Source organism: Homo sapiens, chromosome 11 (genome assembly GCF_000001405.40).
Source record: "Homo sapiens chromosome 11, GRCh38.p14 Primary Assembly".
NCBI classification, from domain to species: Eukaryota; Metazoa; Chordata; class Mammalia; order Primates; family Hominidae; genus Homo; species Homo sapiens.
This window is the reverse complement of record NC_000011.10, coordinates 73,646,117-73,672,494: the sequence shown is the minus strand read 5'-3', so window position 1 is coordinate 73,672,494 and position 26,378 is coordinate 73,646,117. Positions and strand designations below refer to the sequence as shown.

At 50.8% G+C, this 26,378-nt stretch overlaps 1 protein-coding gene across 7 annotated transcripts, besides 7 other annotated features; it reads right to left on the bottom strand.

Moving 5' to 3' along the window:
* Positions 1–9,675: 9,675 nt before the first annotated feature.
* On the bottom strand, positions 9,676–25,914 carry PLEKHB1 (pleckstrin homology domain containing B1). 7 transcript variants are annotated; one of them, NM_021200.3, is made up of 8 exons: positions 25,869–25,914; positions 23,408–23,483; positions 21,790–21,942; positions 20,605–20,707; positions 19,481–19,520; positions 16,588–16,692; positions 11,643–11,742; positions 9,676–11,029 (listed from the first exon to the last, which is right to left on the bottom strand). In NM_021200.3, exons 1-8 carry the CDS (start codon positions 25,884–25,886, stop codon positions 10,893–10,895), a joined length of 732 nt encoding a protein of 243 aa, NP_067023.1. In that variant the 5' UTR covers positions 25,887–25,914; the 3' UTR covers positions 9,676–10,892. The 7 variants fall into 7 exon arrangements, with proteins under 7 accessions (NP_067023.1, NP_001123506.1, XP_011543494.1 ...); NM_001130034.2 differs by lacking the exon at positions 25,869–25,914 and adding an exon at positions 24,757–24,841; XM_011545192.3 differs by lacking the exon at positions 25,869–25,914 and adding an exon at positions 24,217–24,241.
* Positions 10,527–11,369: an enhancer, noted in NCBI's record as "H3K4me1 hESC enhancer chr11:73372171-73373013 (GRCh37/hg19 assembly coordinates)". NCBI's record gives its function as "activates a minimal SCP1, AML or CMV promoter by ChIP-STARR-seq in naive H9 embryonic stem cells {active_cell/tissue: H9 hESC(naive)}" and the evidence as "EXISTENCE:reporter gene assay evidence [ECO:0000049][PMID:30033119]".
* Positions 10,527–12,214: a biological region, named in NCBI's record as "H3K4me1 hESC enhancers GRCh37_chr11:73371326-73372170 and GRCh37_chr11:73372171-73373013".
* Positions 11,293–11,464: a silencer, noted in NCBI's record as "fragment chr11:73372076-73372247 (GRCh37/hg19 assembly coordinates)". NCBI's record gives its function as "represses an EF-1alpha promoter that drives an FKBP-Casp9 reporter gene in an ReSE screen in phorbol 12-myristate 13-acetate-treated (for megakaryocytic differentiation) K562 erythroleukemia cells {active_cell/tissue: K562(+PMA)}" and the evidence as "EXISTENCE:reporter gene assay evidence [ECO:0000049][PMID:32094911]".
* Positions 11,370–12,214: an enhancer, noted in NCBI's record as "H3K4me1 hESC enhancer chr11:73371326-73372170 (GRCh37/hg19 assembly coordinates)". NCBI's record gives its function as "activates a minimal SCP1, AML or CMV promoter by ChIP-STARR-seq in naive H9 embryonic stem cells {active_cell/tissue: H9 hESC(naive)}" and the evidence as "EXISTENCE:reporter gene assay evidence [ECO:0000049][PMID:30033119]".
* Positions 24,636–24,795: an enhancer, noted in NCBI's record as "active region_5239". NCBI's record gives its function as "activates an Ori minimal core promoter by ATAC-STARR-seq in GM12878 lymphoblastoid cells {active_cell/tissue: GM12878}" and the evidence as "EXISTENCE:reporter gene assay evidence [ECO:0000049][PMID:35858748]".
* Positions 24,836–25,055: a silencer, noted in NCBI's record as "silent region_3746". NCBI's record gives its function as "represses an Ori minimal core promoter by ATAC-STARR-seq in GM12878 lymphoblastoid cells {active_cell/tissue: GM12878}" and the evidence as "EXISTENCE:reporter gene assay evidence [ECO:0000049][PMID:35858748]".
* Positions 25,431–26,349: an enhancer, noted in NCBI's record as "H3K27ac-H3K4me1 hESC enhancer chr11:73357191-73358109 (GRCh37/hg19 assembly coordinates)". NCBI's record gives its function as "activates a minimal SCP1, AML or CMV promoter by ChIP-STARR-seq in primed H9 embryonic stem cells {active_cell/tissue: H9 hESC(primed)}" and the evidence as "EXISTENCE:reporter gene assay evidence [ECO:0000049][PMID:30033119]".

Here is a 26,378-nt window from a genome sequence, read left to right as displayed (position 1 = left end):
AGATCGTGCCACTGCACCCCAGCCTGGACGACAGAGTGAGACTCCGTCTCAAAAAAATAAAAAAACAGTGATGACCTTCAGCTAGGGTGTCTAGCTGAAGAAATTTCTAAGCAGCAAAGCATTCAAGATGTGCCATGCCTGCCTCTCACAGCCTACAATCAGATATGGGAGCAAAGGAATATCTTAAAGTTAGAAGATATATTTAAATGGGAAGAGGAGCATTAAAATTTGGAAAATGTATATCCTAGCCTTGTGGTAGAGAAGGAAAAAGCATTTTCAGGAGAGGAATACAAGCAACAGCTTGCTAGGGAAATTTATATAACTAAAAGGGAGCCAAGTGCTAATAGTCAAGACAGTGGGAAAAGGCCTCAAAGCCATTTCAGAAGTCTTTGGGCCAGTCCCTCCCATCAGAGACCTAGGAGGAAAGAATGGTTTCAGGGCCCAGGCCCAGGGCCTGCACAGCCTCAGGACACTGCTCAAAGGGCCCCAGATATAGCTCGAGGCGGTGTTCCAGCGGGCGCAAGCCATAAGCCTTTGTGGCTTTCATGTGATGTTAAGCCTGCAGCTGTGAAGAATGCAAGAGTGAAGGAGACTTGGCAGCTTCCACTGAGATTTCAGAGGATGTATGAGAAAGCCTAGGTGCCCAGGCAGAAGACTGCCACGGGGCAGAGCCCCCACCGGAGCCTTTACTAGGGCAGTGCAGAGGGGAAATGTGGTATGGGAGCCCCCACAAAGAGTCACTACCAGGGCAATGCCAAGTGGAACTGTGGGAAGAGGGGCCACTGCCCTCCAGACTGCAGAATGCTAGAGCCACCAGTAGCTTGCACCCTGAGTTTAGAAAAGCCACAGACACTCAACTCCAACCTGTGACAGCAGCCACAGAGGTGGAGCTGCCTAAGGACTTGGGAGGCCAACCCTTGCATCAATGTGCCCTGGATGTGGGATATGGAGTCAAAGGAGATTATTTTGGAGCTTTAAGGTTTAATGTCTGTCATTCTGGGTTTCAGGCTTGCTTCAGGCCTATTGCCTTGTTCTTTTGGCTGATTTCTCCCTTTTGGAATGGGAATGTTACTCAATGCCTATACCACCCTTGTGTCTTCAAAGTAAATAACTTGTGTTTTTGGTCGGGGGGTGGTTGATGGTGGTGGTGGTGGTTGTTTAGACAGGATCTTGCTCTGTCGCCCAGGGTGGAGTGCAGTGGCATGATAGCTCACTGCAACCTCTCCCTCCCAGGCTCAAGCAATCTTACCACCTCAGCCTCCCAAGTAGCTGGGACCAAGGCACGTGCCACCATGCGTGGCTGATTTTTGTATTTTGGGTAGAGATGGGGTCTCACTATGTTGCTTGGGCTGGTCTTGGACTCCTGGGCTCAAGCAGTACACCTGCTTTAACCTCCCAAAGTGCTAGGATTACAAGTGTGAGCCAATAACTTGTTTTTGATCTTACAGAAAATCATACGAGGAAGGAACTTGCCTTGAGTCTCAGAAGAGACTATGGACTTTGGACTTTTGATTGAGTTGATGCTAGAAGAGTTAAGACTTTGAGGGATGATTTTTTTTTTTTTTTTTAAGACAGAGTCTTGCTCTGTTGCCCAGGCTGGAGTGCAGTGGAGCTCAATCATTTTGAGGTCAGGAGTTTGAGACCAGCCTGGCCAACGTGGTGAAACCCCATCTCTACTAAAAATACAAAAATTAGCCAGGCGTGGTGGCGAACGCCTGTAGTCCCAGCTACTCAGGAGGCTGAGTCAGGAGAATCGCTTGAACCTGGGAGGCGGTTTCAGTGAGCCGAGATCAGGCCACTGCACTCCAGCCTGGGTGAAAGAGCAAGACCGTGTCTCAAAAAAAAAAAAAAGTTGCTTGACATCATTTAAAGTTAAATATGTTTGTCATATAACCCATTTATTCCATTCCTCAATATTTACCCACAAGACATGAAAGCATGTGTCCATACAAAGACTTGTACACAGGCTGAGCGTGGTGGCTCATGCTCATAATGCCAGTACTCTGGGAGACTGAGGCGGGAGGATCACTTGAGCCCAGGAATTTGAAACCAGCCTGGGCAACATAGGGAGACCCCATCTCTACAAAAATAAAAATATTAGCCAGGTGTGGTGGCACATACCTGTGATCCCAGCTACTTGAGAGGCTGAGGTGGGAGGATTGCTTGAGCCTGGGAGATCGAGGCTGCAGTGAGCTGTGATTTTGCCTCTGCATTCCAGCCTGTCTCAAAACAAAAACAAACAAAAAAACTTGTACACAAAATTCATAGTAGCTAGTATTGCCAAGAACTAGAAACAACCCAAATGCCCATTAAAAGGTGAATATATAGGCCAGGCGCGGTGGCTTATGCCTGTAATCACAGCACTTTGGGAGGCTGAGGTGGGCAGATCACAAGGTCAGGAAATTGAGACCATCCTGGCCAACATGGTGAAACCCCTTCTCGCCTAAAAATACAAAAATTAAGTGGACGTGGTGGCACGTGCCTGTAATCCCAGCTACTCCGGAGGCTAAGGCAGGAGAATTGCTTGAACCAGGGAGTCGGAGGTTTCAGTGAGCCAGGATCACACCACTGCACTCCAGCCTGGGCGACAGAGTGAGACTCCATCTCCAAAAAAAAAAAAAGTCACCTTCTCACCTACTGCATTTCCATCTCTATTCTTTTTTTTTTTTTTTTTTTCTTGAGACGGAGTCTCGCTCTGTTGCCCAGGCTGGAGTGCAGTCGCGCAATCTCGGCTCACTGCAAGCTCCACCTCCTGGGTTCAGGCCATTCTCCTGCCTCAGCCTCCTGAGTAGCTGGAACTACAGGCGCCTGCAACCATACCTGGCTAATTTTTTGTATTTTTAGTAGAGATGGGGTTTCACCGTGTTAGCCAGGACGTTCTCGATCTCCTGACCTCGTGATCCGCCCGCCTCGGCCTCCCAAAGTGTTGGGATTACAGGCGTGAGCCACCGCACCCGGCCTCCATCTCTGTTCTTTAAAGGATATCTCTATGTGCAGTCCATACTTAAGGAGTTGGGATTTGTTCTTCTTTAGGGGGGAATATCTATGTAAATTGTTTGTAATTCTCCAAGGGAGATTTGTCTCTTCTCCCCCATTTATTTATTCAAATGTTCAGTAATTTATATCAGTATGGACTCATGGATACTTATTTTATACGTTGGGTTATAATCTAATACTACTTTATTTGGTTGCCCAGATTGTTCCAGCTCTTTCAGTTCTTTTGCCCCTTCGATGTACCCCCATCGATGTGCATTTGTTTTGGTCTTTTGAGTTCTTCTTTATGGCAGTATATGATGCTCCAGGCTCATCATGGATACTTCTTTATCCAGTCCTGTAATCAGCCATTTCTCCAAGGATCGCTGATTTCTTTGACTGGAGAATTGGTATTAGACATGAAGATGTGGGGCCAGGTGTGGTGGCTCACGTCTGTAATCCCAGCACTTTGGGAGGCTGAGGCGGGCGGATCACGAGGTCAAGAGATCGAGACCATCCTGGCCAACATGGTGAAACCCCGTCGCTACTAAAAATACAAAAATTAGCTGGGCATGGTGGTGCGTGCCTGTAGTCCCAGCTACTCAGGAGGCTGAGGCAGGAGAATTGCTTGAACCCGGGAGGCGGAGGTTGCAGTGAGCTGAGATCATGCCACTGCACTCCAGCCTGGGTGACAGAGCGAGACTCCGTCTCAAAAAACAAACAAACACAAAAGATGTGGGGCTAGGTGTGTTCATTTCTTTCTTTTCTTTCTTTCTTTTTTTTTTTTTTTTTGGACACAGAGTCTCACTCTGTTGCCCAGGCTGGAGTGCAATGGTGTGATCTCGGCTCACTGTAGCCCCTGCCTCCCAGGTTCAAGTGATTCTCCTGCCTCAGCCTCCCAAGTAGCTAGGATTATAGGTGCGTGCCACCACCACACCCGGCTATTTTTTGTTTTTTTGAGACAGAGTCTCGCTCTGTCAGCCAGGCTGGAGTGCAGTGGCACGATCACGGCTCACTGCAACCTCTGCCTCTTAGGTTCAAATTATTCTCCTGCCTCAGCCTCCCTAGTAGATGGTATTACAGGCGCATGCCACCACGCCCAGCTAATTTTTGTATTTTTAGTAGAGATGGAGTTTCGCCATGTTGGCCAGGCTGGTCTTGAACTCCTGACCTCAGGTTATCCACCCACCTGGCCTCCCAAAGTGCTGGGATAACAGGCGTGAGCCACTGTGCCCAGCCTAGGTGTATTCATTTCTTTGAGGCTCTCTCAGCTGGCAGATGAAGGAAATATATGTATGTACTGATGTGTATATACACATATCTGTAAATATTTCTGTATATAATCCCGTCTCTATGTCAAGCTAGACATGAGTTCATACTGATGTCTCCAACTGTAATCCATTACCACATGAATCATTCTAGCTTCCTCCCTTTGCTTATCTGTAAATTTCTACTTCACCACTGAGAAACCTGGCTTCCAGTTGATCTAGGGACTCCAATGTGCATCTTTGACTTATCAGCATATACTTAATATTGTACTACTTCACATAAGGTATTTTGTGAAAGGAAATTTACCAGAGTATCATTCTACTGTCCCACCCCCACTCCCTGTCCTCTCTGCTTTTTTGGTGTATTTTTTATTACATTCATAATTTTGCATATACTTGTGAATAATTAATTCTGTTGACTATTATTCCATTTTGTGAATATTACCAGTAGATTTATCCTGTAGAATTTAAGTTTTTTCCATTGCTGTTATAAACACTTTTCTACCTACTTTTTGGTGAAGGTAAGTACACATTTCTGTTGGGTGCACCCTAGGAGTAGAATTGATTCGTTATAATATATGCATATACTTGGCCTTACCAATCAGTTTCCAAAGCAATTGTACCAGTTTAACTTTACAGTTATTCCAGAAGTGTATGAGACTCCATGTCAGTACTTAATGTCATCTGTCTCTTTCATCTTTGCCCATTTTAATTCAAAACTTTTTAAAAACTATGTGCTGACCAGACAAAACAATTTGTGAGCCAGATGTCGTCCATAGGCCACCTCCAGATTAGAGTGTTTTGTCTATGAGGATTAATGTCTGTCTTAATGTGTGTGTGAATAATTTAAAAATTGTCTACTGGACAGCTGGAAGAATTAAAAATTCATGTTGCAGTCCTACTAGTGGAGAGATTTTGAAGCAAACTGCATCGGGAACATCTATTTGCACTCATTGCTTTGTTCATTGGGGTGACTGGAAAGCACAAATGTGGAGAGGTTTTTGGAGAAAGCCAGAACAGAGGACAGGGGATTGAAGTGAGGAAGTAGGAACTTCTGCAAGTGAACTAAAAACCTGTCCCCTTACTGGGGGGATAAAGAGTAATTTCATTTTATTTTTTCATTTCCTTCTTTTTCCTTTGTTACTCCACCATTTCTATGAAGTCTGATGCACGTGCTTTGTTGGGGCTGGTGATGACATGGAGAATGAAAACTCGGGCAGTAAAGGAAAACCACCCCACATTGATCCCATAATTGGTGTCCAGGTAGAGAGAACAGGCATCCATGTGAGAGAATCTCACTAAGATGTTCAAATGGTAACCAGTGGGTCCAGACAGACTAAGGTGTGGGGGAGAGCAGCTGGCCAGTGGAGAAGGCCTCCTTCCTCCCCGATATACTAGAAGAAGGTGATTTTTTTTTTTTTTTGAGAAGGCGTCTCACTCTGTTGCCCAGGCTGGAGTGCAGTGGCGCCATCTCAGCTCACTGCAACCTCCACCTCCCGAGTCCAAGCGATTGTACTGCCTCAGCCTCCTCAGTAGCTGGGATTACAGGTGCCTGCCACCACACCCGGCTAATTTTTGTATTTTTAGTAGAGACAGCGTTTCACCAGGTTGGCCAAGCTGGTCTTGAACTCCTGACCTCAAGTGATCCACCTGCCTCAGCCTCCCAAAGTGCTGGGATTACAGACGTGAGCCACCACACCCAGCCAGATGGTGACAATCTGAGAGGACAGAGGCTGACATCTGCTTTGTAGTTGGAACTCTTTCTATATTCAGTATATGTTCCTGCCTAAGCATATCCTGGCCTTAGCTTGTTACCCCTCTCCATCCCCAAGGCTTGTGACCAACCTAGAAAGGGTCAAACCTCAGGGTTCTGTGCTTCAGGTTTAAGGGTGATAGACTGATTGGACCATGATTCTGACAATGAAGTCTCCTGATGACCACTTAAGATATCTGCAAACCTCTGTGGGAAATTCTAAGGTTGGGGAACACTGATCTGAGGTCAGAAGTAAATCTGGGACCCAACCCTGGGAGTTCTCAGGAGGTAGATCTCAACTCCTGAGGAAGGAGGTCTCACAGACTGAGCTATCCCACAAGGGCAGGAAAGGGAAAGGGTAAGAGTACTCCCAGTCCCTATGGGTGGCAGAAAGCAGTAGCATGGTCCCTTTCAGGTGGGGCAAAGGGGAGACAAATCCATTTTAGAGGGCATCGAGGGTCATATCCAGCCAGGTATTCTGAATGTAGGGCTCTAGTTCTGAGACTGAGTCATATACCTGATTTTGGAGAAGTGCTCACTGCCAGGATGCTCAGAGTGCCACAGACCCTTGCTATCTACAGAATCTCCTCTAGTAGGGGCTGATGGAGGCAGGTGGTCTCAGGAATGGATGTGGAGTTGAGCACCCCCAGTGAGCTGGCTATGAGTGGCCAGGCAGTACCTGGGCTGCTCAGACAGTTTGCAGAGATGGTTTTGTCTGGGTTGAGACCATGTTGTCTATGAGAATGAATGTCTGTTTTTGTGTGTGTGAGATCGAACTTCCAGGTTCAACCATGTCCTTCCTTTGCTTCAAATTTTTTGGAGGCATTCCATGGCCTGGAAGTTAGTATATAGTTCAAGCTCCTTCCCTGGCATCCAAGGCCCCTGACGGTTTGACCTTGCTGACCCCCGTTTCCACCCATCACACTGCAGATCCAGCCTCACCCAGAGAACTCTCGGCACTGAGTGCTGCTTTAGTTCTTGTTTCCTCTTCATCTAAGTTAGCAACTCCCACAAGACGATAGTTGGAAGAGCATTTGTCTTTACATCTAGCTTAAGACACTTCCACCCATACCTGAGTTAAGGGCTGCTTTCTCTGTGACCCTACAGCCTCAGGGCTACCAGTTCCCACAGCCCATGTTGTCATAGTCTGTGCCCATGTCTGGGATAGACAGACAGACACACACACACGCACGCACGCACATGCACAAACTCCTTGAATGTAGGGCCCAAATCTCATTCATCTTCCAGTACCCAGCTCTCAGCCCTGTCTGCCAACAAAACTTCTCAGGAAAGCATTTGCTAAAGGAAAAGAGAAGAGATATTTGTGTTATACAGTTGACCTCCTCTCTGGGAATTACTTTCCTGCCAGGTAATGAGCCACACAGGATTTATAGTGCAGAAGCAGTGTGGTGTGGTAGACAAGGTCAAGTGACCTGCATTTGAATCCAGATTCTGACACAGCATGCATGACTTGGACAATCTACTTTCCTTCTCTGCATCTGTTTCTTTGTAGGTAAAATAAGAATAGTAACACCAGGCCCATGGGGTTGTTGCAAAGACCTATGAGATAAAGCAGGGGAAGCTTTGGGCAATGAATGGCAATGTCCCCAGCTCTGTCTGATCTCAAATGCCCTGCCCAGCCAGCTCCCTGATCCTTGTTTAACCCACATTCTTGGGAAAGGACTCTAGATAGCTTGGGCTCTTCCTACATATTGATCTCTAAAAGTCCTGAGACTGTGCCGGAGAGTAAGAGGAAAGGTCATTCCCAGAGCCAAACTCAGAGATGTCCCTGCAGGAGCATGCAGGACACCCTCTAATGAGATGGCGTAATGGGGATGCCACTAAAGGACTGACAGGGTAACTGGGTCCATCTGGGAGAAAATTAAGGCTGAGGCTGGGCTGAAGGTAGTGAGTTATCTCAATTGACTGTTCATAGTCAGTTACAGATCAAACTCTGTTCTCTCTCCCCACTTCTCACTGCTGCAAAGGAAGGGAAGGAAAGGAAAGGGAAGGGGAAGGGGAGGGGGAGGGGGGAGTGGGGGAGGGGAAGGGAAGGAAATGGAAGGGGAAGGGAGGGGGAGGGGGGGAGGGGAAGGGAAGGGAAGGGAGGGGGAAGGGAGGGGAAGGGAGGGGAGGGGAGGAGGAAAGACAAAAATAGAAAAAATTAAGGCTGTGAGGAGGAGAAAGGAGGGGAGCAAAACAAAAGAAAAAATTAAGGCTGAAGTTCCAAAGCATGGACTGGGTCTGATGCACTGCTGGGTCCCCTGAACACAGTACAGGCCTTAGGATACCCAGGGTATGTAACCTCTGACTGCACAAATGCTAACAGACCTTGGTTTTCTCAAGAGGCTCCTCTTGCATCCATGCTTGTCCTTAAGCCGGGGCCACATACTGGACTATGCCCTGTGTTCAGTAGCCTGGCCCAAGAGGTTCCTTATAGTTTGACCTCATCCACCACCTCTCACCATGCGACCTGCTATAGCATGAGACTGGTTCCTGAACTTCAGGGTGCTCTCAAGCCTCTAATGCCTTTGCTCATACCATTTCTTCCATCTGTTCTCTGTGTGGAAAGCTCTCCCAACTTTTTCAGATTGGCAAACTCCTACTCATTTTTCAAGGTTCAAAATAAATTTCCACTTCCTGTCCCAAAGCTTTCCCTAGTTCCCTTGGCAGAGTTGCATGCCTCCTCTTCAGAGCTCCAACTGCACCACGTTCCTCTGTAACTTCATTCAATCATTGCTGTTTTTATACATGTCTCACCTCTAAGTTGGTGTCTCTGGAACTGTGGCTGAGGTGAATACCTGATATTTTTGCCAACCAGCTTTCATCTATTCATCCTACTTCTGGGAACAGTGCCCTGAATTTCCTCTGGGACACCATCCCACCCCTGCTGTAAGCCCTGTTATTTTAGACCATCCGTTTCCAGACCACTGGGGTTGATGCAGGGATGGCCACAGGACCCAATTTAGACTGATGTCTACCAGGCCCAGGACTTTCAGTCATACTGTTAGAGGAAGAGAAATTCTCTTGGTTGGACTTGAACTCAGGAGGGCATTAGCCTGGAGCTGCTGAACATCACTGCAGCTTCCAAATGAGCCAGCCCTGCAGGTGTAAAGATGGAAACAAAGCAAAGTCTAAGTGACACTCTTTGAGCCCCTGGATCACACAGCTCTTGGACTTCTCAGTTATGTGGCTTAACCTTTTCCCTTTGGCTTAAATCAGTTTGAACAGGGAGTTTCTATCTGACAGCCCCAAGAAGCCTGATGCAGGATGATGGTGTTTCCTTTCCTGACCACCTGGTTTTCTATGAGAACAATTCATTGATTCAACTCTAGAAGGATGGGAACCTACTGGAAAAGACTCCAACATGAACAGGATTCTCAGAAAGCAGGCAGGACCTGGCTTGGATCATCCATCAGCTCAGACAACAGAGACTCCAAGGCAGTCCCTCCTCTTGAGCCCTCAGGAATGGTCAACTTCAACCAGCTACCTTAAGTGTAGGGAAAACAAAATCCAGAAAGGTTAAGTGACTTGCCCCAAATGACTCAGCTAATATGCTGTCACCAGTTCCAACTGATCTCAGAATCCACACTCTTTTTCACTAGACCAGTGAAGGCACTAGTAGCTGCTGGATCATGGAGAGGGAAACAGGGCCTTCTGGGGGAACAAAGCAAGCCACAGTTACTGCTAGAGCCAACCAAATCTTTATTAGTCTCGGCAGCAGAACTAATGGAGCCCCCATTTACAGGGGAGCTTTAGTGGGCTAGTCTGGCTACCAGGCAGGGATGTTAGCATTTCTATTGGTGATTGGGATAGAAAGGGGGAAGAGACTGGAAGGGAACCAAAGGGGGAGACTGGTGGACCACCTGAGGGCAGGCACAGATGGGGCTTCCTGGGCTGGTGTAGAGGTGGATCAGGCCCCAGAGGAGAACACTGCCATCTTATTCAGAATGAAGGATGAGACAAAGCCTGAGAGGGTGACAGTCACAGCTACAAAGAGAGGGCCGAGCTCCTGGTGTGAGAGGCATTTCTGGACGGAGGCAGCTTTCTAGGGCTGGAAGTCTCAAATAGAACTCACCTGTTCCCCAACCAGGGGTCCCCAGGTTCAGCTCAATTGTTATCATGGGTACCAGCCAGGAAGCTGTTTGTGGGAAGGATGGGACTTGACTCAGGAGTGTTTTAGGTATGGACATGTGTCAGTATTCACAAAACAGGCAATATATTCATTATAGATGCAATCATGAAACTTCCCTCCAGAGAAGGCTCACATCTCCCCTTTCACCTAGGAAGCTCCTTAGCTTGAAGGCCCACCACGGTCTGATCCCAGCCTCCACCCCAGCCCAAATGAACTCCCATTTAATTCCTTGGACATGCCATGACGTTCACGGCTCTGCATACTTGCCAATAACTGTTCTTCCAGCCTACCTGTCTTGCTCCCTGCCCCACCTGTCCTTGTCAAAGGACTGATAACTCTTCAGCTTTGTCAAGTCCTTGTTTACTCCTGTTCTCCCCACCAGGACTCGAGCTCCCTAAGGAGAGAGCAGAGAGCCCGATTCATGTTGTGTCTACAGCGCCTGGGGAACTCGAAGCCAAATGAAGTCGTATTTGCTGTGCCCTGTTGTGTTTAGAGGAAATGTATCCATAAATGTCTATAACAGATTTTGGGGGTGTCTAGTGGTAGATGTGAAGACTTCAAGCGATGTTTGTACCTGTGATGATAGCTTCTTCCCATGTGGGGATTAAGGGTAGGGAGTGGGGGGAATGGTCCAAACCCGGAAGGAGCTAATGGAGAGGATAGGGCCAAAGTGGGACAGGGCTTGGATGGTAGAGGATGGGGTCCAGGAGGAAGAGGAGTCTAGCAATCCAAGCGCAGGGGTCAGTGCTCCGAGTCCCAGGGCTCAGAACCAGCAGGGCGACCACATGAGCGAGCCCAGCGCCGCCCCAGTGGCGGCTCCCGCAAGCATGCCCATGGCCAGAGGGGCGCCGGCGCTGTAGCAGGGATCCTCCCGCACTATCACGTGCGTCACGCCAGGGCCTGCAGAGGGAGACAGCCCATGAGGATCAGCGACTTAGGAGGGAGTAGAGTGATCTTCGTACCCTTCCTGCATCACTCCAGCCCAACCCAGTGTAAGGCGCCGAACCCACTCTCCTGCTCCCCAGTCAAAGAACAGATCTAGACGCGGGAAGAGCTCCACCCTACGGCTCCCAGGCCTTGGATCGGCTACGGATGTCCCGGAACCTACGGGTCCGCTACGGCAGGCTAGGGCGGAGCAGCGAGGAAACCCTGAGATCGCTAAGCACAACCACCAGGCGCCTAACGATGGGCATTCCCAACCGCCAGGCCCCAGAGCGGGGAGGAGGCAGCATTCCCGCAGTAGCCACCAGGGGCCGCTACCGGCTCAGGAATGGGTATTGCCGACCGCAGGGCTGAGGAGCCATCCCAGAAGGGTGAGGTCAGCTCGAGACGAACGCTGGTTCCAGAGCTCTCCCAGTCTCAGGATGGAGAGGGGCTTGCGGAGAGTTCTGCCTGGGAAAATCCGTGCACGCTAAAAGGATGAAGCCTGGTCCGGACTTACGGACCGTGGGCTGGGCCTGGCGCTGAATCGGTGCTGGATCGAGGCAAGCCCCGGGGCACGCTGGAGACTTACCTGCGTAGGGCGGTCCGTAGTAGCTGCGGACATACGTGGCCTCGTGTGCATTGGGGGGCACCACCTCGTAGTAGTCTTGGTACGGGCTGTAGACGCGCACCTGGGGAATCCAACCATGTCAGGTGCCCAGGAACTCCCTGGCCCGGATTTGGTCCCCTACCCCCACGCCTGGCACAGGCCTCTCTGGGATCCATGGAGCCACCTCCCCAAGTTTAGAAATGGGCCTCCAGCCACTAGCAAGCTCTTGGAGAAAGGCCCTGCCCTCCCCACAAGGTCCACGGTCCTCTAAAACTTCTGCCCTACATCCAGCTCCCAGTGACACCCATTCTCCAACTCTGGCCTCCCACCTAGCTCAAAAAATTCTCTATGGCTCCCAATTTCTCCTTATAGGTAGTCTAATATTTGCTAGCAGCTCTACAATAATGCCACTTGAAAGACCCAGCTCTACTAGTCACAAGGAGGGGAACATGGCCAAGCCCCAGGCCCAGGAAATAAACAGGGGTTGGGGAGGAAGGAAGGGAAAGGAAGGATAGGGATGAGAAGTAACTAAAATACAGTTATGCGTCTTTTAAACAACAGGGATACAGTCTGAGAAATGCGTCCTTAGGCAATTTTAGTTATGTGAATATCATAGAGTGTACTTACAAACAAACCTAGGTGGCACACACCTAGAGTATATGGTATATCCTATTGCTCCAAGCCAACAAACCTGTTCAGCAGGCTACTGCCCTGAATACTGTAGGCAATTGTAACACAATGGTATTTGTTATCTAACTAATCATATATAAATGTAGAAAATGTAATGCATTGCCCTACGACATTATCATGGCTACAACATCACTAGGTGATAGGAAATTTTCAGCTCCATTATAATCTTATGGAACCACCTTTGTATATGTGGTCCATCATTGACCCAAAATTGTTAGGCTGCACTAGGCTGTAACGATTATTGAGCACCTACTATGTACCAGGTCCTGAAGGAAGTGATCACGTGTGTTACACCACCTCTAATCCTTAAAGCAGGTATTAGCTCCACATGACCATAGGGTTGGGGACTGAGGCTCAGAGAATGGTCAGTGTTCTCTCTGGAATGCATTCCCTGCCCTCCCCTCTCTCCCATTAGATTTCTGCCAACCCTTCAAAGCCTAGCTCAACGGTCACCCACTCCACTCCAGGAAGCTCTCCTGGTCTCAGGAAGAATTTTTTTTTTCCCTGAATTCTGTGGATCTTGCTTGTGCCTCTTGTTGCTATCCTTTCTCCTGGCCTTTCTTGCAGCCCAAATGTGAGCTGCTTGTAGACAAGGACTCTGATTTGTTTGTGTCACCAGCAGGGCCAAGTGCATACCAGGAACCAAGAACTATGTGCTGAATTAAATGGAAACTCCAAACCCCTCATTTTACCCATGGGGGAGCAGACCTGGAGAGGGGTCAGGATCCCCTTCTCTTCTGGATCTTTCCTCTTAGCCCCATTCCACCCTGTATCTCTCTCTAACTGGGATTCACACCTGAACAGTCCAGCTCCCCTTAGAAGTCCAGGTGTCTCAAACTCCACTCATCTCAAGATGATTGCAACATTTCTCCATCTGCTAAAACTGTTGCTTTTCCCATAAATCTTTTTTTTTTTTTTGAGACAGAGTTTCATTCTTGTTGTCCAGGCTGGAGTGCAATGGCATGGTATCAGCTCACTGCAACCTCCGCCTCCCGGGTTCAAGCGATTCTCCTGCCTCAGCCTCCCAGGTAACTGAGATTACAGGTTCCTGCCACCACGCCTGGCTAATTTTTCTGTATTTTTAGTAGAGACAGGGTTTCACCATGTTCGCCAGGCTGGTCTTGAACTCCTGACCTCAGGTGATCTGCCCGCCTTGGCCTCCCAAAGTACCCAGCCCCATAAATGCTTCTCTCAGTACATGCCATCACCATGCACTCAAATCAAGAAAGGCTAGGCACAGCGGCTTATGCCTGTAATCCCAGCACTTTGGGAGGCTGAGGCGGGAGGATTGCTTGAATGCAGGAGTTCAAGACCAGTCTGGGCAACATGGCAAGAACCTGTCTCTACAAAAAATTAAAAAATTAGCTGAGTGTGGTGATGCATGCCCGTGGGCCCAGCTATTTGGGAAACTGAGGCAGAAGGATCACTTGAGCCCAGGAGATCGAGGCTGCAGTGAGCAGTGTTTGCACCACTGCACTCCAGCCTGGGCAACAGAGGGAGATCCTGTCTCAAAAAAAGAAAGAAAGAAAGAAAAAGAAAGAAGGAAAGAAAGCAGGTTGTTGCCCTTGTCTTCACACATCTGCTTTCCACACATCAGCCACCAGGTCTCGTGATTTTATCTTCTAAATGTGTTCTTCTGCCCATTCTTTTGGCCAATTCCAAGATAATAGGCCACTGGTTTTAGCAACTTGGAAGTTGTGAGTGACCTTGAAAAAACTTTTCAGAGGAGTTGCTGAGTAGGAAAAGCCAAGCTATGGAGGGTTGAAGAAAGGCTGAGAGGTGAAGGATGCAATCCCCATGTCATGACATCTCTTTCAAGAAGTTTGGTGGTAAGGGGAAGGTCTCCAAGCACACCTTGTGATTTCAAATCTCCATGCCATTTTCCTTTGCTAGGGATATGCTTCTCACCTCATTCAACCTGTCTTTCAGACTCAACTCAAGCATCACTCTCCCTGAACCTCAGGTTCTGTTGGGGTCCCATCTGGACACTCACAGCCCTTGGATGTCCCTGCATCACAGCACCGATCATGCTGTCTTCACGTTGTTTCCCTGTGTCTCTCCCATCAGACTTGGAGATGCCTTTGAGGGCAGAGACTGGGTCTAATCAGATCTGACTGGAACATGGCAGGTACCTAATAAATGTTTATTGAATTCATTCCAGTGAATCAAATACAGGGCCAGACTGGAACTAAGGTTGCCCAACTCTGAGTTCAGTTTCAAGTCAGGGAAAACATATAGTCCCAAGACAATGCAAGAGGCTCAGACAAGCAATGTCGTAAGTCAGTGAACTCTACGGTGCTCCCTCCCCATCAGTGATCCAATAGGGATTTCTGGTAGGCAGTGCCAAGATCCAGGCTCCAGGCCCAAAAGGGGTTGGAGGGATCTAAGCTCTCAGGTCCAATTTTATTGGTGGGGAAGTTGAGGTCCACAGCCTCCACCTTGCCCTGCTGCTACACAGTGAGCCAGTGGCCTTGGGAGGCCCTGGAGAGGGTGGAGCACCCCATATCCCTCGAGGGCACCTGTTTTTACTCTCCACGTCTGGGAGGCCCAGAAGTAAACTCCTATAAGTCACCTGGCAACAAATAGGGACAGCCCAGAGACCCATGGGCAGAACCTGAGGGTTTGAACCTGCCTCTCCCTCTCCAGAGGCCCAGCTACTTTGTGGGTACAACCAGTGTTGACCAATCAGGGGGTCACATGCAAATGACTCCCCTTAGCTGAGCTGTTGTGTTATTAGGTTTACAGTCTGTTAAATCCTAGTTTTTGACATCCCCACTTTAAACAAACTTGCATCCTAGTTTGGGCATGGAAAATACCTCAGAACGATGGGCTGGGAGTCCCAGACCTGCCATTGATGAGTTGAGTGACCCTGATCAAGTTAGGTAACCTCTCCAAGCCACTGAGGATCTAACAGTGCCACATCTATACAATTTGGTGGCCCAGGCACTTCTAGGCTTAGTGATTCTGCACATCAGAGTCATCAGGAGACAATTTTTTTTTTTGAGATGGAGTCTTACTCTGTTGCCCAGGCTGGAGTGCAGTGGGGTGATCTTGGTTCACTGCAACCACGTCCGCCTCCTGAGTTCAAGCCATTCTCCTGCCTCAGCCTCCTGAGTATCTGAGATTACACCATGTCTTGCTAATTTTTGTACTTTTAGTAGAGATGGGGTTTCACCATGTTGGCTAGGCAGGTCTTGAACTCCTGACCTTGCAACCTGCCCGCCTCAGCCTCCCAAAGTTCTGGGATTATAGGTGTCAGCCACCAGGCCTGGCCAGGAGACAGGTTTAAACTACAGGTTTCCTAGGCCTAGGCCCCATGCCAGATTAAAACATCCAGAGGTGGAACATGAATACTTGTTATTAGTGCTTGTAAGTTCCTAAACAATCCTGATACATAGCCACACTGAGCACCACTGTGTAAGATGAGCTCAGAGTTGACTATAAGATCACAGGTACTCTCACTCAAGCCCCCTCCTGCCACCCACCCCATGCCAGGCCCTGTGCTGAGTTCTGGGGACAGAGAAAAGATTCAGGCCAGATCCTGCCTTCAAGAAACATTGAGGGTGAGGGGAGACAGACCTAGACTAAATTAGACTATGTAGTAGTATTGCTATAAAGGAAGTTTTTCACTCCCTCCTTCCTTCCTTTGCTCACTCAGTGAACATTCCCTGAGCCCCACTGTGTAAGAAAGGTCAGCATAGACTCCCCATCATCGAGCACTAATTGAGCATGTGCCATTTACCTAGCCTTGTGCCAAGTTCCATAGAGGCAGCGCAATCAGGCCTCATTCTTGCCTTGGAGGAAGTTCTAGGCCTCATGGAAGACTACACAGACAGGAATAAACCAGCTCTGAAACCAGGCAGAATGAAGAAAGCACTAAGCCTTGGTGCCGCTAGGCTGAGGGAGGGAATGACGATGCCTAGTGGTCTAGGAAGTCCCCACTGAGTAGGTGGCAGGCAGCCTTTGAGGTGGGCCTTACAGGATGAGCATCAGTTTGTCAGGTGAATGAGGAAACTGAGGTCTTGTCAGCAGAGGGAACAGCATGTGCGAAGGCTGGCAGAGGGAAAAGGTCTGGTGTGGCTGGGGACAGAGGGTACAGCAGAGCAGCTGGTTTGTGTCCTGTGGGTGATAGGGAGCCATGGAATGTTTGTCACAGGGAAGGGATGGACTGGGCCTGGTTTTGGAGGCTCATCCTGGTGGCCAGTATGGAGGCAGGGAGGGCCGAGCCAGCACTTACCCAGATCCGCCTCTCAACCTTACAGGGGCTCCACGAGCGGGTCACACACCTGACCTTGGAGCAAACCCGGCGGCTCCTGGGAGGGACGGTGGCTCCAGCTGGGGCCTGCTCAAGCCACAGAAACCCAAGAAGGAGGAGGGAGGGAGGGGGTGTCAGAGGCCCTCTACACCTAAAGAGACTCAAGAGCTCTTTCCAGACCCTACCAGAGCCCTCCGCCAGCTGGGCTGTGGCAGGGAGCATCCTCTTTCTCCTCAGCTCATGGTAACGGGGGAGGCTCAGAGAATGCTGATGACTGCCAAAGTTACGCAGAAAAGAAGGACAAGTAGTCTCTTTCCAGAATTAGCCCACCCTCCCCTATTTCATCCTGCTGGGGTTCCCAGTCTCCAGGGAGGACAGGGCGACTCCCTTCTGTCCTCTAGCCCACCTGGTCCGCTTCACCCCAGCCTCGTCCCTAGCTGTGCCCCCAGGCCCTGTGTTCCCAGTAAAGCTGGTGTTAGGGGCTCCTGGAGCCTCCACCTGGAGTGAGGTATGAACTCCAGCATGTCGGAGGACAAAGGGCAGGTCATTCCCACACAGGCTACAGAGAGAAGCCCATAAACAGAGGTGAACACACAAAGATAGGTAGACACAGGCACAAATACACCCCGACTCTAGTAAGCCCGGGCACAGAAGGACGTGTATATGTGGAGTAGTGGGAGGTAGAATAGAGGCCAGGGCAGAGAGAAGGGTCAGCAGAGCCACAGGAGATGGACAGGCAGAGAAGGACGAGGCCGCTTCATAGAGTCACAGAGTGCAGACAGTCACCCTTGCCTCCTTCCCTCCGCCTCTCTTTGGTGGAACTGACTTGCCCCACATAAAGAGGCTTTGGAGCTCAGAGCCAGGGTAGCCTGACCTGGGTCCCTCCACCCTGCAGACTACTGCTGTAGCCTCCTTACTCCCAGCTTTCTCCAATTCACCCGCCACTTGGAAGCCTGAGTCTGCTCCCCAAAATCTGACCACAGCCCTCGCTGCTGAATGCCCTTTATTGCTCCCTACAGGCCTCAGGGAAAGTCCATTTCTTCCAACTGGACTTTGAGGCCCATCATGAGCTGGCCCCGATGACCTCAGAGGTCATCTCTCCTGTTTCATTCGCCTCATGAATTGCTCTCCAGCCAGGCAGACTCTGGGCCCTTAGACGCATGCATATGTGCATAAGCACTTGTGCACACACACATGTGCACACATCACTTCTCTGTCTCTGCTCATGCAGCTACTTCTGCAGATAACGCCCTCCTCTCAAAATCTCACTGACCTAGGTTCCATGGTAGGCTTTTCCACTGACTTAAGAGTATAAGCTTTGGACAAGTCACCTCCCCTCTCTGAACCTCGGCTTCCTTATCTGTAAAATGGGACTAATAATACCAACCCCCACCCAGCTGCCCTGCCAGGGTTGTTGGAAGATGAAATGATGTCACTGCTGCCAGGGGCTTAGCATGATGCCTGGCACTCAGGACGTGGATGCCTGAGGAGGTTTCTAAATGCATCCAGGTCTCCCCTGCTACTTCCCAACGGACTTTCTCTATAGGTGAGAGGGGGCTCCATTGTGCCATACAGAGAAAGAGCAAGCACAGATTCTGGAGTCAGGCAGATGGGGGTGGAGGCCAAGCTGGGCTTTGGGCGGCTCTTCAAACCGCCACTTCCATCAGTCACAAGCTCTGTTGACTCCATCTCCTAAATATGTCCTGTACTCATCAGCCTGTCTCGGCCAACAAGGCCTTAATCCAGATCTCCAGTCTGTTGCCCGGACACTGTCCCAGCCTCCTAAGTGGCCTCTGGGTGTCTGCAGTTACCCTCTATAATCCATTCCCTACCTACCAGCCAGACTATCTTTTTTTTTTTCCTTTTTTCTACAACAAAATTTCATAAACTGACAGACTACCCCCTTTTTTTTACATGCCCCAACGTTACAACAATTATCTTTTTAAAAATATAAATTGAACCTGATCTGATCATGCCATCCCTCTGTTCAAAAACTTGTCATGGCTCCCTGGTGCTCTTAGCAGAAACCAACATCCTTCATACAGCCCACAAGACCTGGTCGTGCCAACCCTCCTTCCCTCCTTACCCACTCACTCCCTAAGCACCAGCCACCCCAGCTGTCCTTCTGTTCCTCAACTTGCCAAATGTCTTAACCTCTCTCAGAGCCTTGGCACATGCTGATCCCTCTGCCTGGAATGCCGTGCCCTTTACCCGATCCCCACACCTTTCACCCAGTCAATTTCTGTTTATCCTTCAGTCCTCGGTTTAAGCCTTGCCTGAACTACCACCTGGATGAAAGGGCCAGACACTGCAAATCTCTGTCAGAGCTGTTATTACTATTGAAATGGAATAATTAATTAGTTGTTCCATGTCTGGCTTCTCATTAGGCTGAGTCCAGGTGGGCAGAGCCCATATCTCCTTGGTTCACCTCTGATCCCTGGCACTTGGCACACCACCTGGCCCATAGTAGCAGCTCAGTAAATATTTGTTGTGCGGATGAATGAGCTTCAGTCTTATCATCTGCAGAGAGAGAACAATAACCCCAACTTCACAGGACTGTTGTGAGGAGCAGCTGGAATGATACCTGCACCACACCTGGCACATAATAGTTGCTCGATAAAAGACAGTTCCTTCTCCCCAGCTCATGTGCCACTCCCTCCAGCAAATCTCCATGGAGGCTTCTCTCTCTCCTCTGAGCACCAGTTGGCTCTCCCTTATCCTTTCCCCGAACACTTGGGACTCAGGCATCAGAGTTTGCAGAAACCTATCCACATAAGACTGAGAACTTCTGGCAGGTGGAGACCGAGTCTGAGTCACTCATGATTCCATGGCACATGGAGGTGGTGGGGAAAGGGGGAGAGAACGGGAGACTCACCGGGGTGGAGTTTGCCTCCAGCAGTGCTGTCTTCCATGCTCTGCAAAGCAAATCCCACCAGACCATGAGGAGGGAGTTTGGGGGTGGGTGAATTGGGCCCCCACATTTTAGACTTTCCTCTCCAACCCAGCCTCAAGCCCAAGTCTCTCATGAAAGGAGAGATCTCTTGTCTCCCTCAGGAAGACAAAAGTGACCCCTCCCCTGCCCCAGTCACATGGATGGAGCACTAAGTTAGGCTAATTCATTCTTCTCGTCCCCTCTAGAAGTTCCAGTTTCCTCATCTATACAGTGGACGGTTGGGCTTGGGTGGTCTCTCAGGGGATGTCAGATTCTGACACTCTTGGGTGGGTGTTGTAGCCCAGTCCCCCTCCACATCCCAAATCTACAAACAAAACACTTCCCCAAAGCTCTGACCCCAGAGCCTCAGGAAGGCCCAGCAGACACGGGACAATGGGGCCTTTGTTGGTTGCCATGGCACCTGGCTGGGTTGGACAAGGCGGCTCTGTGCTGTCTGCCTGGAGCTCAGCTTCCCCCACTCCCACACACCCATCTCTTTCACTCTCCTCCAGCGCAAAGGCCATGTACCCCTTAGCCAGAGGGTAGGAAGGGACGGAATGTGAGCCAGCAGATGGTGCCTGAGAAGGACACACCCAGGCTGGCCACGTGGATATGCATCTGACATTGGGGTGCCCCTGCCTGGGACGCAGCTGACTGCCTTTGTAGGCAGGTCCAGGGCTACCCCTCAGATCAGAGTCCCCCACCAGGGCATCTTCTAAGAAGGGAGCAAGGGTGCCACTAGGCTGCTCTGCTGCTTTGCATCACCCTCAGGTGAGGGCTCACCTCAGAGGCCGCTAAAGACCAGGAACCAGATACCTGAGGCAGGTGTGCACACCTCCCCCTCAGCAATCCTGAGTTCACTGTAGACCACATGAGGAGTTCACTGTGTGCCATGCCAGTCACCACAAGCCCTTCAAATCCACTCCACCCGCCTCCAATAAGACTCCCTTGCTGACTGGCCTTAGTGCCCTCTTCCTACGGTCAGAGAACCAGAAGGCCCAATGAGAAGGGGGCACATGGTAACTTTCCCCGAGATTCCACCCCATCCTCTCCTGGGAGTGACTCACAGGGCATCATCCTTGGTCTCCGCACAGAGGTGCAGGCGGCCGCCTTCCCGTAGGTTCACAGTCAGCAGGCCATCTCGGCTCCGGCCCTCTGGGGGCTGCACATCTGGAAGCAGACACACATATATGGGTTTCCACAGGCACAAGCCCCAGGTCCCCCCAGTAAAGCAGGGACAGGAATAGGAATTGACTTCTCTGGGCTCTGTTTACTGGCCACTGCCAACCTCCTCTGATCCCATATACTCTCTGAGGGATTCCACTCTACGTTTCCAACCTTTCCAACCTTTCCATGCTGAGGCTTCCCTCAGCACACCTCCCAGTTACCCTGTTAGAACTGTGGCCTGGGCCTTGGTGGAGGAATGTGGAGATTTGCTGTGACTCTGGGCCACTTCGCTTCTCTGGGCCTCCTAATTTCATTTCGTCTTCATCCAGTACCGAGCGCCTGGAGGGCAGGAACTGTGCCTGGCTCACCTCTGAGACAGCACAGAGGAGAAAGGCACTAAAGGACTGATTTTTCTTTTTCTTTTTTTTTTTTTTTTTGAGACAGGGTCTAGCTCTGTCCCCCAGGCTGTAGTGCAGTGCCATGAACACTCACTGCAACCTCTGCCTCCCAGGCTCAAGCAATCCTCCCACCTGAGCCTCTTAAGTAGCTGGGACTACAGGTACACACTACCATGCCCGGCTAATTTTTGTTTGTTTTTGTTTTGGTAGAGACGGGGTTTTGCCATGTTGCCCAGGCTGGTCTTGAACTCTAGACTCAAGTAATCTACATGCCTCTCAAAGTACTGGGATCATAGCTTACTGCAGCCTTGAATTCCTGGGCTCAAGCAATTCTCCTGCCTCGGCCTCCCCAGTAGCCATATGTGACCGCATCTCACCAATTTTTTTTTTTTTAAGAGACAGGGTCTCGCTATGTTGGCCGGGCTGATCTAGAACTCCTGACCTCAAGTGATCCGCCCGCTTCAGCCACCCAAAGTGCTGAAATTACAGGCATGCGCCACCACACACAGCCAAGGACCTATTTCTTAACTCACACCAAACTGAATTGGAGTTGACAGAGGCTCAGAAGCAATGTCTGTGAAATGCCTCTGAAAGCTGCAAAAAGACTTCCAACAGCAAGTGTTCTCGGAGACAGCGGGAGGCTCTGCCCACAGTCACGGTGCCACAGAGGAAGGGGCTTCTGCTCACCATGGCACTCTGGGCCGATCTTTATGTCACGGACATTGAAGTGGATGAGCACACGGTCCTCCTCGTCCTGCGCTGTCTCATCGTGGTAGTATCCCAGGGTCCCGTCCAGCCACAGGGCAAACCAGTTCCGCTTCCAGCGGCGGAGGATGGAGCCTGTACGATATTCCAGATGCACTAGGCAGGCTGATCCCAGAGCCTGCTGGGAATAGAAGCCCCAGACAGACTCCCAAGTCCCCTCAGCCTCAGTCCCTAGTGTTACAACCACCTTTTTCTTGTCTACCCCCTGAAATGAGGGCAGGACCTCTTTCTGTCTTGTTCACCTCCTGCCTCCCATTGGGTCTGATGCATAGCAGAAGCTCGATACACGTGCTGAACAGGGAAATGAGTGACTGGGCCCATTACTTGGAAGCTTCTAAGGCCAAGCCCCAGGTCTCTTCAAGGGCAAAGACCTCTCCCTACCTTAAGCCTGCATCTTCTCTCTCTCTGTCTTTGAGACAGGGTCTTGCTCTGTCACTCAGGCTGGAGTGCAGGGGCACAGGCATGGCTCACTGCAGCCTTAACCTCCTGGGCTCAAGTGATCCTCCCATCTCAGCCTCCCAAATAGCTGGAACATCAGGCACGCACCACTGCACCTGGCTAATTTTTAATTAGCCAGGTAGGTATTCTTGGAGACAGTGGGTCTCACCATGTTGTCTAGGCTGGTATCAAACTCCTGGGCTCAAGCAATCCTCCCAACTCAGCCTCCTAAAGTGTTGGGATTACAGGCATGAGCCACTGTGCCCGGCCTCTTATCTCTCATCTCTGACTTGTGTGATGGTTATTTGTGTAGCATCTGCCTCCTGTACCACTCTGGGGGCTATGGCTCCCCACGCAGGTCCTGGCACCCAGGGAGACCTGGCTCAGTGTTTGCTGAACTAAATGAACTGAGAATGGGCAGGGGTATGGGGCATGGGGCTGCTTGTCCCAGGGGTCCCCAGGATAGCTCTTGCTCAGGTCATGACTCTGGTCAGAGGTGGGTCTAGAAGCCCGAGACCGAGCTTCTGACATTTTGCAACTGGAAATCTTAACAGGGAAGGGCAAAGACATAAGAGAGCTTCTTAGGGCTTTGTGGATTCCAAAGCACAAAGGCATTTTTCACTTTGTTCTGTGCCTCGTTCTGTGTCCAGCCCGGGGTTGGGGGACTGTGGACACACAGAGGGTCAAACCCAGCCCCTGTCCTTGAGGAGTTCGCAGACTGGGGCCAGTCTGGGGTCAGGGAGTGGGGATACCCACAGATAGACAGTTCTGTTCTAAGGAGATCACTGTAAGGCGCCGTGAAAACCGAGGAGGGAGCCTCTAATCCAGCTTGACGCTACTGCAGGAGCAGGGGTGGGGGCCAGAGGAAAAGCCAGAGAAGGCTCCTCAGAGAGGGGCCCATCTGAGATGGGTCGTGATGAACAAATAGAAGTTTAAACCATGTAGTCGGGAATGGGAAGGACCTTCAGGCAGAGGGAAGAGCATGGACAAACAAGGGAAGGATGAAAAGGTCCTGGTTTCTTGAGAGAAGTGTTCCCCGTGGCAAGCCCAGTAAGCCACTTCCTTCACCCTGCCCCAGGACCAGGGGCCCAGGATCACTCACTCTGTCTCCACAGCCAGCCGCCCCTCACCAGGGCCATTTCTTCAAAAGGACTTTCCAGAGCGGAGTCAGGCGGGACCTGTCAGAGGAGCCACGGGAGACACAGGCCTCAGCAGCAGCTCCCTGGAGAGAAGCCCCCAGCCCTGCCGTCCCTGGGGAGCCACCCAGGAAACGTTTGAGGGAGGGTTAGTAAACAAGGGCCAGGCGGCCTCGGCCTCCTCCCCATTCTCTGCTCAGGAAGAGAATGGGAGCACTGTCACTGTGGGGTCAGCAGGGCAGCCATTGGTGTGGGGTGGGGGTGGGGACCAGGAGCCTGGATTCCAGCCTCAGCTTGGTAACTTTGGCCATATCCCTCCTCCCTGGCCCTCTGTCCTGGTCTCAGTTTCTAGATCTGTAGAAGTGTGTCTGTGAGGCAGGCAGAGGCTGGAGGGAGGAGCTCTTGAAACATTAGAATATGCCTGACTAGCTCAGTCGGTGGAGCATGAGACTCTTAAAGTATTAGAAACCTTGGGATTCTGTAATGTGGAAGTGCAGAATATTAGAATCACGGCAATGGATGAGGGAAAAGCTCCCTCCTATTTGGACCCCACTAGAGCTGTTTACAAAGTGCTTCAAAGAGCAGTTCAACAGCAGCTGTGATGGACCGAGCACTCTGTCCGGGTACCCCCTATCAGTGCTTTCATCCATTATCTCATTTAAGCCTCCCTGCAGTCCTTATTATTCCTATTTCAGAGATGGGGAAACGGGGGCCGGAAAGGTCCAGTCAGTTGCACGGGGCCACTTGATTAGTAAGCAATGGAGCCCAGACTCACACCCAGCAGTCCTGGCTTCAAACCGTTATGCCGGCAGGAGCTTTGAGAACTTCCGATACCAGGCCACACTCCGTAACAATTAAATCAGAATGTCTGAGGGCAGGAGGCAAGCCCTGATACTCTTCAAAGATCCTCAGATGATTCCAATGTACAGCTAAGTTTGGACGTCACCGCACATTCTACTCCCTCACCTTGTCCCCACTCTAACCCTGTTAGGAAGGGAATCCTTACTCCTGTTTTACAGATGGACAAACTGAGGGTTAGCAAATGACTCATCCATGTACATGATGTAGCTTGCACTGGAATCCAGGTAGGTGCCCTCTGTTCCTGAGGGCGACTCACTTGCCAGCGGGTGCCTCCGCCCCTCCCCCACCTGCTCACACCTGTTGCTGCGTAACAAGGGCTGGCACACCTGGGCTGGAAGGCCCAGCCTTGTCTGTTCCTCTTGCCGCTCCCTCCCCTCTCCACGGTCTTGACACAGATCAGACAAGAGGGTCAGGTGCAGACTCCTTTTCCAGCCCCTCCCCTTGATGCACCCACCTTGTCTACACTTGTTGCGGATGTTGCTGCCTAAGCGGCCGCTACTCGATGCTGCTGCCACCCAACCCGCTGCGCCTGCGCTTTGTGTGCCCCGGAGAGCCTGGGGCATTTCTCTCCTCCCGCAGCGCCTGAGAGCCCAGCTGCCCCCGGGCCCCGCCCTCCGGACCTGCCCACCCCAGGGAGGGGGAGTGACGTGAAGAGATGCTGACCCGAGGCGTACTGGGACTTGTAGTCTACCCCTGTAGAGCTGGGCAGAAGCAGCCCCGCCTGCAATTTTACTTTTCTATTAAGACATTTGTTCACTCATTTATCATGAAATACTTTTTCTTAAGAATCATTGAACTCAGTTCCTAGAAAAAAAGAAAAAGTAAAGTTGCAAGGAGAAGCCAAGCTCCTAGTTTTGCATGTTTTTTTGATGCTTCCCCTTTCCATCCCCAGCTTCCAGTCTAGTGAGGGAGATTACATGGAAACACACAATTGGAGCACAAGGTGTGATTTAACAATGGAAAAGATGAGCCTGACTTTTCTCAAGGGGTTCAGGAAGGCTTCCCAGAGGAGGCTGAAAGGGGCCTTGGAGGATGAGGGGCAGTTTCCTAGGCGACCCGAAATTTCCCCTATGAATACTGTCAGGATGTTGAAGAGTGCCCAGCATTTCCGTGTGTCTAGAACATAAAGCGCAGGGGTGGGGAGGGCATCGGGAGTGTCAGGCGATAGAGCTGCAGGGTTTGGAAAGAAATAGCACAGAGGCCTTGCATGACAGGCGGAGAGCTTGGATGTTAGGACGCAGTGACTGGAGCTGGGGGTGGGAGTTTCAAGATGAGGAGTGAGGTGTGTGATTAGGGGGTCGGAAAGGCCCCTCTAGGGCACAGTGAAGAATGGACTGGCGGGAGCCCACCTGGAGAAAGGAAGACTTTCTGTATCTATCACCTCGGACTGTGATCATTTCCTTCAATAGCTCAGCCCCGCAAACCCTCACCTACCAGCAGCCACAGGATGTCATTCAGAGACCAGAGGATGTCAGGGCCTAAAAGACTTCTGTCCCGTCCCCTATGTGGCAAGGGTGCCCACCCTGCCCTGGGCCCTTCCTCCTGTCCCAGAGAACTCTTCCTTACCGGGGCTGCAGGGCTCATGGTTCCTGGGTGGCCAGGGCAGCATTTCCCAGAAGGCTCCCGCAGCGGGGCATTTCCCTGAGCGCCTTAGAGATAAGGGGATCAGGAAGGTGCTACCAAGTGGGAGGCTGGAGGGGGAGGCAAGGAGGGAGCGCACAGATCCCAAGGAAGGTCGCCCTCTTTCTCCAGGCTCCTCCCAGCCTTTCCAACTGATGGCTCTGACCCTAGGTTCACTAGACAAGTCATCCCTGATTCAGAAGTGGTCTTGGCTCAGCATCGCCGAGGTTCCCGGAGTGGAATCGGGGCGAGGTTGCGGGGGCAGGACAGGAACCGGGCTGGTCCTCCTCCCTAGGTTGGGGGCGGGGCTACATCTTCATTCTTTGGCCTGGCAGGACAGCGCCCATCACCCCAGTCCTGGCTGCGCAGTCTGGCTCTTTAAGCCTTCCTCTCTTGCTCCTGAGTCTCTGTAATCCTGACCTCGAGCTACCCTCGCTCCTCGGCCCTTTGTGCGGT